The 13461-nt window shown below is 38.4% G+C and overlaps 1 long non-coding RNA gene across 1 annotated transcript in view, besides 1 other annotated feature; it reads right to left on the reverse strand.

Moving 5' to 3' along the window:
* LOC105374060 (uncharacterized) overlaps positions 1-13461 on the reverse strand; it is a 302423-nt gene that overhangs the window by 216003 nt on the left and 72959 nt on the right. The gene's annotated exons all lie outside the window — the stretch shown is intronic.
* Positions 9041-9542: an enhancer, noted in NCBI's record as "NANOG hESC enhancer chr3:118452301-118452802 (GRCh37/hg19 assembly coordinates)". NCBI's record gives its function as "activates a minimal SCP1, AML or CMV promoter by ChIP-STARR-seq in naive and primed H9 embryonic stem cells {active_cell/tissue: H9 hESC(naive and primed)}" and the evidence as "EXISTENCE:reporter gene assay evidence [ECO:0000049][PMID:30033119]".

Below are 13461 nucleotides of genomic sequence, written 5' to 3' on the forward strand. Positions count from 1 at the left end.
TCTCAAAAAAAAAAAGAAAAAAGAGTAGGAGACTGAGTTTGGAGGGTTAGAAAATAGTATAGAACAAAACATTTAATAGAATTTTCCAAGATCATTCTTAGTGTTTAAGAGAGATATTGAATAAATATCAAAATGTACGTCTAGGTCTTGAGATTAAAAATGCAAAACTATTCTAGGACCAGAGCTGCACTACTAGCATCACATTTATAAATATTTCATATTAAACCAATCATTCCTCTACAGTTTGGGTGTCTTGTGGAGGAGAAGGGAGATGGTGAGATGGTATCTCTTCTAACAGAGTATCAGAGAGGCCTACATGCCACTCCTATTAAACCAATAATACCTTGAAGCCAAGGAATTTGTCTGATTCATAATTAAATTGCCAGTCCCTAGTACAGAATCTCAATCCCTGGTACATAGTGGGTGTTTTATGAATGTTAGTGAATATATGACATACAAACTTCATGTGCTAGTTCCAGGCTAAATTTATCTGAATGGTTTCTGAAAATCAGATCAGTCCATTCTTTCTGGATGATAACATCTCAACACTACCAAGATAGTCTTTCTGTGGGAAACCCACAACATAGGGTTACAAACGCTACAATTCAACCACTGCAGTTCAAACTAGACTAGACCATCATGATCATGCCTGATTCCCAAAGAAGAGATGAAAGTGGATCAGCAGGTAGGAGCCAATGTAGAGATTTCATAATAAAACACGTTAAGACTTTTAAATAACAGATTTATAATAATTCTAACAAAACAGGCTTCAGAATTGACTAGGAATCTTTGCAGTATCAAAGATTAGATAGATCAAAGTCTGGCCTGTGGGGGTGGAACTGAATATGGTCAAAAGGCTTAAGGATAAAGACAGGGTTAACTAATGCAGCTTATATTCCTGTAAATGAGACATATTTTTATACATACCCTAAAGGAAAGTTTGTGTGTATTGGCTTAAGATAATTTTTCAGTTCACTGTAGATATAATAATGAATAAAACACTGTTCTTTGCTAAGAGGAGTTAGAACATTATTTACACATAATTCAGTAAATAAAGGCTGCAAAAAATTGGTGCTAGATAGTTAAGTCCCCTCACCTATACAAAAGGCCTTTATTCTTTATATCTCCTTTTTCTAGGGTAAGAGTTGTTTTGCTGAACCATTATAGGCAAGCTAAAAAGGGAGGAGAGGGAAAGTGAAAAGAAAGGATGAGGGGAGGCAAAAGAGGGGAGAAGAGAAGGGAGGGAAAGAAAGAACAAGGAGAGGAGGAAGGAGAGGAGAAAGGATAAGAGGCATCTATTTCTGGAAATATTGTAAGTTAAATACCCTGAATAACTGCTACTGATAGAAGCAACTAAAACAATGGATAACAAAATGTATAGAAATGCATTTTTAGAGACACTGCCGAACTGGCACAAAAGGATCCACAGTTTCCAAAAGTTGAAATGAAACCCAAATCATGGGGAAAAAAATAAGCACCACAACTAGATTTTCCTTAATGGCTTCATTTGAACCCTAAAGACTCTATGTTTCTGTGTATCAGCAATATGAGTTCTGGGTGTAGGGAACAGAGGATAAAATCCCAAGCCCTTGAAGGCTCCCCTCAGAGAGAGGATGAATGAGAAATAACCCCTGCTACACAGAAGGGGATAACAAGAATTACAAATCCTCAAAATTTTGGCACTAGATAGAGGTGAAGAAACATTACCTGATAATTTGTAACAACAAGCCAGTCCTCATGGTGTTTTGGTCCATATTCATGTTATCTGAAAAACCTTACTCAGATAATACGATTTAAAGTGATCCCAGATTGGTAGACACTTCAGGTCCTTGGGTGGATAACTATAATCCTACCTGGAAGAACGCAATTTCAACCCAAGCCTAAAAGAATTCTTATAGAAAAATTCCCAACATAAATAAAAAGTTCACAACAGAGGAAAAAACAAAAGAATAAAAAGGCTCCTTGACTTAGCACTAGAGGACATACACAAGGATCTGCCCACAAACACAGTAACAAACACTTCAGATATCATTTAAATGTGGAACGTAAATTACTTACATTTTATTAAGTCCTTAGAAATAGAAGATAAACTTGAAAACAAGAAGGAAAACAAGAGACTGAAAAACAACCACTAGATGAAAAATCCTCTAAGTAAGGGTAAATTAAACAGTGGATTGGAAACTGCCAGAGAGAGAATAATTTTATGACTTCCACATAAGAAGGTTTTCTTACACAGAACTCTAAAATAAAAACCACAAAGAATAAAATAATTTGATTCTGTATCACCTCCATATAGTATTTCCTATAGGCCAAGCATCATTCTCATTACTTTACATGCACATATGTAATTCTCCCTGTAAACCATTAAAGTTGACATCATTATTATCCTCATTTTGCAGATGACAAAACTGAAGGGATGGGACCTAAATTAACTTACCCAAAGTCACACAGCTAATAAATGCAGGTTCTGAGATTTGAGTCCAGGCAGTCTGGCTCCGACATCTGTGCCCTGAAGTAAAGATTTATAAATCTGAATACATTAAAATTTAAAAAAACTTTTCATCAAAAGACACCTTAAAGAAAGCTAGAAGATAAACACTAACTGGGAAAAGTTATTTCCAACATATTTAACCACCAAAGTGTTCATGCCCAGATTCTATACTAAACTCCTCAAGCCAATGCTGGCATTGAGCCATTTATGTTCTGCTGGTCATTTTCCAAATAATAACCTAAACACATGGATATCACCGCAAATTAGTTTCCACAACTCCACTCACTCAAGTTTAATTTTTCTCACAATCAGTTTACCTGGGATTGGGTTATGTTATTGTACATCCTGTCCATTACCAATATCCTTTGTCTTTGAAAACCACTGGCCTCAAATTTCCTTTAGAATGAATACAGTAAAAAATTTCTGAGAGACCTGAACAGTTTTCTGGAGACACCAGGAGTGTGTAGTGATTCTTTAAAGATTGGACTCTAGCCCCACCACCCACTTACTCTGCAAATGTGGGCAAGTTATTTAAACTCGTTGAGGTTCAGCTTTCTCATGTGTAAAATGAGGAGCATTGCCACAATTGAGTAAGATAATGTAGGTAAAAGAGCACCTCCTGGGAGTTTCTTAAAAGATTATATACATAGAGTCACCGTACAACTCTGTGATTCCACTCCTAGGTTTATACCCAAGAGAAATGAAAACATATGCCCACACAAAACTTGTACACAAATGTTCATAGCAGCTATATATATATAATAGCCAGAAAGTAGAAAGAACTCAAATGTCCACCAACTTATGAATGGATACACAAGGTATGATATACACATGCAATGGAAGATGATTCCATAATAAAAAGGGATAAAGGTCTGATTCATGCTGCAACATGGATAAACTTGAGAACATTATGCTAAGAGAAAAATTCCAGACACAAAGAGCCACATATTATATGATTTCATTTATATAAAATGTTCAGAATGGAAAAATATATATGGACAGAAAATAGATTAGTGGTTGCCAGGGGATTAGGGGAGGGAAGAATGAAAGTAACTGCCAATTGATACAGAGTTTATTTAGGGGTGATGAAATGTTCTAAAGTTAGATATAGGGATTTTTGCACAATTATGTGAATACACCAAAATCCACTGAATTGTAGACCTTAAAAGTGTGACATTCATAGTATTTAAATTATATCTCAATAAGGTTGTTATTTTGAAAAAGAACATATCTGCAGCTTTTGACACACAGTAAGTGCTCAGTAGTTACTGTTATTTTTACTCTTTTTAGCAGTCCATATGTCTTCTAGCATCCCTAAATTGTTTTGACCAATAGAAGTATTTTTTTAATTTCAAAAAAAAAACATAGTCCCAAATATCCATGTGCAAGAAACAGCATGGAAAACTTGAGAGGAGGGCCCAAGAAGACCTTTGCTAGGTGAGATGAAGAGACAGCCATGCTCTGATGTTGGAACTTGGGAGGACCCTTAGGTATGGTAAGCTTTAGAGCTACTTGAAGACTCTCAGGACTCCCTTGTGGGTACAAAGAACAGGTGGCTGCCTTCACAGTAATTATGCCAGCAATAAATTAAATTAGCTAGCATTCATTTTCCAGCTAGGTGCCAATCACCCTCTTTGTGTTACCTCATTTAATCCTCACCACTTACCTATAATTTTTATTCTATTCTAATCCCCATTTCACAGATAAGGAAACTAAGGTAGAGAGCAGTCATTTCCAGAACCAAGGCTTTTCACCATTATCATGCCACCTCTGACACAATCTTGGGAACCCAAGGAATTCTTCCCATATTTATTTAGTCATCACCATAGATAAACACATATAGGCTTACTATACCTGAGGCAGTGGTCTAAGTGTTACATATAAGTATGTTCATGTATTTAATTCTCACAACTCTCAGATGTAGCTAGCATTATTATTCTTATTTTCAAATGACACACATGATGCACAGAGAGGTTAGATGACATTCCCATGGCCACACAGTAGGTAGGTGACAGGATTGTTATTCGAATCTATATAGTCTGACTAGTAGGGTCTGCCCTCTTAATCACTCTGACGTATTGCTTCTCTAGCTGATGCATACAGTACTGGCTACATACCAAAACCTTGTCTAAGCCTTCCACATTTTGTTTTAAATCTTCAGAACAAAACTAGGTAATAGGCATTATTGTAAAAAATGTATTTTAGAGTAGCATGAAAATAAGTATAGAGAGTTAAAATATTCTGCACTCAATGAACAAGTTTCAAAGCCAAGACAATTTGATTTATATCAAAGTGATTTGGCACAGGAGTCCAGGCTTTTAACCACTACTCCACACTCCCTCAGCAGAGAATGAAATTTCTAGAAGTAGAGACAATGTTTATCATCATGCAATCAGAGATAAAGCTAAGACTGAAATATTCAAAATTTTTAAATGAAACAAACTAATACAAACAAGCAAATAACTTCTCCGCTTCCCCTGGCAGGATCAGGGATCACTGGACATCAGAGAATCCTGGAATTGGATGAGGAGGATATTTGCTTCCCCAAACATCAAGCTTTCATTATATCTCAGAGATTTTCTGTAGGACACACCTATCCTGTATTTAAAAAGCTGATTGGCCAAGTTGAATCAAAAAATGAGCTAATGAGCATAGTTCTTCCCCACTACCGAGTAGCTTTCCATCCCATGTTCCCTAAAGTGAAATGATGTGAGTCATGTCCATTTCCAGTTGCAGGTTCCTGAAGTTCTCTAGCCCTGCACCCCCACAGACTTGTACCACTTTGATAATGGCCTATGAAAACCTCCCCTCTGCTTCTCAAAACACACCTGTCCAAAGCAGACAGGGGGCGTAAGTTTCACTTCTTTGCTTCACTTCTAAGCAATCTACTTAATGCCATTATTCTCTTATCCAGTAATCCAGTTTGAGGCATGCCCAAGCCTAGAGCCTCTTCCTGACCTCTCCTCACTTCTGCCAGTACTGGGGCTATTTCTCGCACTTCCACTCTCAAAGCTGAATGTGACTGAAAGAAATATATAAAATAGAGCATTTTGGGGTCATTGTTTAGCATTATAGCTACAAGTTTGATTGGAGAGAAGACTGACACTACTGGTTAAAATGAAGTCTTTGTATTAATCTATGAATATCATCCAGGGCTTTGAAGAACAGCCGTTTTGCAACTTGCCAGTTTCATCCATTTGAAATAAATTATAGATGGTACATTTGTCCTCGTGAGTTATCAGTTATATTCACGTGCATATATGTCCTAAAAATAAATAGTCTCAGAGCCACACATATTCCCAGCAAGTGACAAGGATTTACACACCAACATCAGCAACTTTGTAAGGAAGCTTTGTCCTTCTCATCATTCTTTTTTCTTGGTGCCAGCAGAGATTCACAAGTAGCAGTCAGCAGCAGCACTATCAAAATGTATTTTTAAGCCCATTGTGTTGTTTTGACAAACTAAACGATTAATTAACAGCAATCTAGCGAACACATCTCTACTTACAGCTCAGAGTGAAACACACAGATCGCCATAACCATTCTATAGTCACCATTTACTGCGGAAGAATACTGCCTAATTAATTATAATTGATCACAAAGATTAGATTCAAATTCCACTAGCAGGGCAGAAGAAGCCCAAACAGAGGAAATAAATCAGAAAACTATTCTCTGAATCCATAATGAACTAACAAGCTTTGGAGATAAACAGATTTGTTTTAATTGTAGTTTTTAAAAAATAATTTAAGAACACTTTGAGGTCTTTGGAGAGAGAATATAGATTGGGAAAAGGGTAGAGCCAAACTCCAGAAAGCATGGATTCAGGTGAATGCTGAAGGTCTGGTCTCTGACTCAGTATTTAAGAAAACTGTAACGTGTCCCACACAGTGGGGATTAGGTACGTGACCTGTTAATCATGTTCTCCCTGACCCAAAGACAACTCCTTGGAAGCTGGAAGAACACACAGCTTTCCCTTCTTAGTTCTCATAGTGAATGTCCACTTTTCCTACCCACCACCCATTTCCCCTCCCTCTGACTACAGAGTCTCCCCTCCTAGCCATGGGCATGGATACAGGATCTAGACACGTCAACTCTCCACTCCCTGGCCCCAGTCCATTGCTCAAGCCAAGATGAGGACTTGAGACCCACCGAAAGCCTTCTGAAAGACTTATAAAACTAGAGTTGGAAGAGAGAAACTTCATTCCATATCCAGCCCCCTTTCTTCTTTGCCTGGGAAGTTGCAAAGAAGTAAACTCCATGACTGACGCAGAGAAAAGATATGGAGAGTGTAGTCCTAGCTCCAGTCAGTAGGTCCTCAGGTTTCTGAGAGTTCATGAAATCTGTCTTTCAAGAGACTTATTTTTGCTTTAGGTAGTTCAAGTTGGGTTCTAAGAGAGTCCTAACATTCTGCCATGTAAGTTAACTAAGTCTAGAAACTCCTCAGTGAAGAAGTGTCCATTATAGAAATAGTCAGATACAGGATTAAGGCAACTCTGGATCAGAGGGAAGCCTTTTACAAATTCTTGGCTTGGCTGCTGGAGTCTCATCTTCTTTACAGGCTACACTAAAACTGCGGGTCTTAGGGTCAGAACTGGGTAGTGGAGAGATCACGAGCATTGTAGTGATAAAGATCTGGCTACATGTTGTGGCTCCTTGATCTTAACCAAATGTATGAACCTTTCTGAACAATAAATTCCCAATTTGTAAAATTTGGATAATAATCCTTCACTGGAGTTGGTGAGAATTGAATGAGATATGCATGAAAAGTTAACAAATAACAGTACCTGAAACAATACGTATGGACTCCCAGCTTACATATGACATCACAACTCTGCCATTATTGTTGCTTTCCTTCTCTATCTTGACAACTGAACACTACCGTACACAAACCTTCTTTCTCCCAGCACAAGAGAACATGGCAAATGAGTAATTAGGAGCTAAAATCCTGTCCCATCTATAAAATATTAAAATCTGATTTTAGCTTAGAGCTTGCTAGATGTAATAGATATACAAGAATAGTCATGGATTTATTAATGTAGTTGGTTGTATTAGTAATGACCTCACTAATTTTAAATAACTTGGGAGAAGGCCAGCCCAGTTATGGGATACTTTTTTAAAGTACACTTTAATTGCTTTCAAACATATTCAGTAACTAAAATAATTCTGAAAAGAATTGCCTAGGAGAATCTATTATGTGATGCAGTGACAAAAATGATTTATAATTAGTACATCAGAAGTTAGTATATAAAATATCAGGTTAATTATCATCATCTATGGTGGAACAAAAAAGGTCTTGCTGTCATACCAGAAAAGCTGGCTTCTACATATCCGTGCTTATGAAATAGGAGTGAAAATGCCTAAAACATGGCATTACTGTGTGGCTTAAAATTAAATGAGTGACAGTGAAGTTACAAACCCTGTAAGGCAGAGTTTATATGTAGCTCATGATGGTATCCCACAAGAGTGCCTGACACTGGGCAATCTCTGCATAAATACATAAATAGATGAGTAAGTGTGCAAGTACATAATACAAAGCTTAGCCTGTAAGGTACCAGGACTTGGTGTTTCAGGAAGTACCTCTATGTCTCTCTACCCTTTGGGTGATCTTCCACTCAAAGATCCTTTGAATATGTAGAACCTTTGGGGTCTTGCTCTTACACTGGCTATCTTTACTGGGAATCACTCATTGGAGTGGGTGTCCAGCAGCCTTGCTTATACCACATGAACTGGTCATTTTGGCCACATTTTTATGGAACAGAGATGGACATTTGACCCAATAAGTTTTCATTCGATTTTTACAACTCGGAGTTTGAAATTGAGGCTAAGAGAGTCTACCTCTTTGCAGGTCAGTTGCTAGAACAGTAACACATAAACTGAGGAGCTATGACAAACCATATGCCATCATGTGGACCACAGAAGCAGGTCTGAGAGGAAAACAAAGAGGCTTTCAGAAAGAGAAAATATTCCCTTCCTAGTTCAAGGTCCTAGTTAAAGTCTAACTGTTTCCCTGTCCTTGGGATTTATAAGATGTTCTCCATATCCTTATGATAAATTATCCCTTTGTACTAGATCAGGATATAAGCAAAATAACTTTAGTACAACAGGGACTGGATAAGGAATCAGTTATTTTAAAAAGGCAAATAGATCAATAAGGGGTACACAATCTGCCCGAGATACATTTTTTTTATTTTTTATTTTTTTTTAGTCTACGGCGGTGGGCCAAAGGTATGCTTGTGTTGATGGCAGATTTACATATGTGCTGATGGTATTTGTATGAATGGCTCAGAACTTTTTAGGATCAGCTGACTGTGTTATAACACTTTCACATTACCTGATGTTTTAATTTTTTTTTTTTTGTAATGTTACAACTTCTAACAACTATTTTCTTTACTACTGAACAGAAGAGGTCACTGAGAAAGAAAGAAAAAGTGACTTATCCAAGATTTTATTTTCACGTGCGTCCATGTGAAGACGAGTCACGGCACCAAATTTCACGTGCGTCCGTGTGAAGAGACCACTAAACAGGCTGTGTGTGAGCAACAAGGCTGTTTATTTACCTGGGTGCAGGCGGGCTGAGTCCGAAAAGAGAGTCAGCGAAGGGAGATAGGGGTGGGGCCGTTTTACAAGATTTGGGTAGGTAAAGGAAAATTACAGTCAAATGGGGGTTGTTCTCTGGCGGGCAGGAATGGGGGTCACAAGGTGCTCAGTAGGGGAGCTTTTGAGCCAGGATGAGCCAGGAGAAGGAATTTCATAAGATAATGTTATCAGTTAAGGCAGGAACAGGCCATTTTCATTTCTTTTGTGGTGGAATGTCATCAGTTAAGGCAGGAACTGGCCATCTGGATGTGTGCGTGCAGGTCACAGGGGATATGATGGCTTAGCTTGGGCTCAGAGGCCTGACATTTATAGTCAGCAAGAAGCAAGAAACACAACTCAACCCCAGCCTTTCTGTCTATAAGTGCCATGCTCTTTCCAAACCAAGCTCAAGAATGGGAGGAAAACTGCATGGGTATTTTGGACTTGAAGGCAGCGGATCTCCACCATTTTAATATGGGAAAACTTTTTTACAGGCAAAAGATTTCAAACATCTGTTCTTCAGAATAGGCATACTGTTTTTGTTTTTTTTCTTTTTATAGACAATGTCTCACTATGTTGTTGCCTGGGCTGGACTCAAATTACTGGGCTCAAGTGATCCTCCTGCCTCAGCCCCCCTGAGTATCTGGGACTACAGGCATGTGCCACTGTACCCATATCAAGAATAGGCATACCTTTTATATTCACTACTGAGAAAAAAAATTAAGATGAGAAAAATTAGGAAATATCAATAATGTTTTAAAAATAAATTTGTGTGTTATTAACCAATATAGCAATATGAAAAGTTTGTGTGCTTATATATGTTGGGAGGAAGGAATTAAGACAGAGAGAAAAAAAAACACATAATTGAGCAGTTACTCTATTTTTAATTTATTCTAAATATAGTGGCTGGTGTACTTAAGGATTTCTAATCTTTAATGTTATACAAAGACATCCACAGGAACCTTACCCCTCCGGATGGAAACTCCTCCAATGAGGACAATCAACTGTTTCTAATTTCAGACATTCCTGAAGAGGTTTCAGACTCTTCAAAAATGGCTTCATTTATTAACAACTGTCTAGAGAGACAGCCTTGCTTTACCTATCTCATTCTTGGTTTCAAGATTTTCTTGGTAGGAGAGAGAGGAAAACTTGGGTTTAGCATACCAGGGTTTGATCTGGAAAACAGAAGCCACTCAAGGTATTGTAAATAGGAAGGGATTTCTTAAGTAAATTAGGAGAAAACACAATTTTCATTAGGAATGAGAGAGTGAAGGTCAAGGAGGCTACTGCCATCTTTTGGAAAACACAGAACAGCATGATTCATAGAAAAGCCGTCACCAGTGGCCACAGCTGCCTGCAGCACCACCTGGGTGATTCCCAGGAGGATGCCCAGAAGTACTAGCTCAACCCTATGTCTGCAACTGTTGTGTCTATGCCCCTGCCCACAGCTGCAGTCAGGGAATAATGGCTTCCCCATTTCTACCTCTGCAAATCTCATGAGAGTGCCTCTCATTGGCAGAATATGACCCGGAATTATACTGACAAGAAATGATGAGAAATGCAGTTCTCAGCTGATTTGATAATGGATAACCCAGCACAATCCACCCCTTTTCCCGTTTAAACCCACAAAATCCTTGCAACACATATTTAGCTTCTAACCAACACCAGCAACAAATTAATGAGTCTGCCTAATATGATGTGTCTGCTCTTATATAAATGTAGATGCACTCACCCACTCTTGGAAAGGTGGAGACTCAAAGTTTCCCTTCAGAACTGTAGCCATCTCTGGATAGTGTTAATTCTCCTTCTAGTTTAGTCACAGTCCTTCTTTGATAATCAGTAAACTAAAAATTAAATTACAAATTAATCACAACTAACAAACTTCTGTATGGAAAAGAGAAGATAAGAAGATGTACGTACATATGCAAGAAACAATACATAGTTAACATGGTCCTCATTTTTGCAAGCAGTTACAAGGCCATACTTAGGCTTTAAACTTCTTTCTTCTACAACCCACTCTGTTTCCTTTACAATCAATCAGTCAGCATCTAAGCCAGTCATAGCTTTTTATCTGTTGGAATAACTCAAATCTCTACTCCTGAAGGTGCCTGTAGTGGGTTGCTGTATGCTTCCACTAACTTCCTGCATAAGGAATGCATACCAATAAATCCCCTAGGCTCCCAACACAAATTCCCTAGGCTCCACCTTATCTCCTTTATGCGATAGCAACCCTACTTCCCATTCATAATCAGAATCAATCACCAGTGATACAGTAACTCTTCTCTATTTCTTGGTTCAGTGGTATGAGAAACTCCTAAAAGGCCAAACTGTTGTCTCAACTTTCAGTAAGGACTAATGTAGAACCCTGGTGAAAGCGTTTCTCATGTAGCAATTAAGACTCTAGTTGTGGGGCCAGAATGCAAAAATTGGCTTTCTAGACCCATATATTTTATTTACAATGAGATACATGGTATCATATATGTGTTCCTAATTTTGAATGTTTACTGCATCCTGTTTCTGAGTGAATGATGGACACTATAAGATCAGTGAATCCCATGAGTGTGACACTTTCTGTAACTTTCTTTTTATTTAGGCTACAAAATAAAATCCTTTGGTCGGAATAAAAATATTTTGTGTGATACCAAGACAGTGAATAATGCATTCAATAAGTCTACAGATGGTGGTACTGGCAGAAGCATTGCCAGCAAAGAAGGCAGACCCAAGTCCATATTATGCATCTATTCCAGGAAGAAAAAAAATTGCTGCCCCCTCAATGATGGAAGGAGTCCAATGTAATCAACTTGCCACCAGGTGGCTGGCTGGTCCTCCTGGGGAATGTTGCCATATTGAGAGCTCAGCTTTGGTCTCTGCCGTTGACATGTTGACATGCCAGGCACTCAGCAGTGGCAGTCAGATCAGCCTCGGTGAGAAGAACTCCATGTTGTTGAGCTCATGAATAACATTCATTCTTGTTAACATGGCCACTTTTTTGATGAGCAGATTATGGAGTGGCTGGATAAAGAAGCTGAAACCATCCACAGAATAAGTCATCTAGCCTCTGTGATTATTGAGAGTCTTCTCTGCAGCAGATCCCCTTAGGTAAGCAGTCCCCCTGGTAACAATTATCCTTAACTCTACACCCATTCCAAAAGGTCCATCTACATACCTCTTTCTCTGAGTTCCCTGTCCCAACACCTCCAATCTGAAACTTATGAAGCCCCTGACCATCCAGCCAAAGTATTTGCCACTTCCCAATATCGATCTATACTTCTGGCTACCTCTTAATAGTTCTTCCCATAGGTAAGTAGGTGGTACTCTCTTTCTTACTGTCCTCTAGAGCTACCTCTGCAATGCAGCAGCAATCCATTCCTGTCTGGTACCAGAACATCATGTAGAATCATCTATAAATCAGAGGACCCAGTTTTTTTTCTTCTCTAGTCAAATAATCATAAATAGCTTCCCATGATGCCACAGGTGTGGGATCAGGGGGATGCAGAAATACAGAAGTAGATGCCATTAGAGTCTAAACCGCTTTCTCAAGAAACTCCTTCCTTCAGGACTTACTCAAACCCAATCTCATACATACCATTTCCACATGATTATGGAATGTGCTGCACATGCTAACTTTATGGTTTGGTTAAATACATAATACTCAGTAGATGATGGGTAGTTCAGGTTGTATGACCACATATTGTCCAACAGTCAGGGATTTGTCTCTACCAGGCCTGTTAGCAAGCTTAGAGCTGCTTTCACCAGGGTATGACTTTACTTTATAACCATAGAGGTGTATACCAGGATTCTTTAATCAGCATTTTCCTGGGTTTCAAGGAAATATTCCTGTATGTCACAAACATTTTGCTACATCTGATTTTATAATGTTCAAGTCACAGAGTACCTTGTTGTACATGTTGTATAGCCTTCTCTTGCTCTGGGCTCTAATTAAAACTGACAGCCTTATGGGTTATTAGGTAAATGAGTCAAAACATCACATTGAATTATGGTATTCAAAGAAGTCAGCCAGTGTTGTACTTCTTTCTAAGTGATCAGCGATCCAAAATTCAGTAACTTTACTAAGACTTTAGAGGGGATAACTCAACACCCCAGACCACTGAACTTCTATAAACTGCTCTAAGGTGATGAGCCTACACTTTTCACGTGAGATAGTTCTACCCTCTTACACGTATGTGCTGATGAAGGCATCTAGAATATTTTCTAATCACTGGGGCAATTGGTAAAATAAGACTTCCCAAAAGGTATCATCAGTTCAGAGCTAAAGTCTAGAATTACGAAAAAAAAAAAAAAATGTGTTCTTTCACTTTCCAAGAGTGTAAAAGCCTTAGAAAATGGCTACACAAGCCTTTTGGGAAGGCTAGGAGGATTACTTACAATGTACT

This window comes from Homo sapiens, chromosome 3 (genome assembly GCF_000001405.40).
Source record: "Homo sapiens chromosome 3, GRCh38.p14 Primary Assembly".
Classification (NCBI taxonomy): Eukaryota; Metazoa; Chordata; class Mammalia; order Primates; family Hominidae; genus Homo; species Homo sapiens.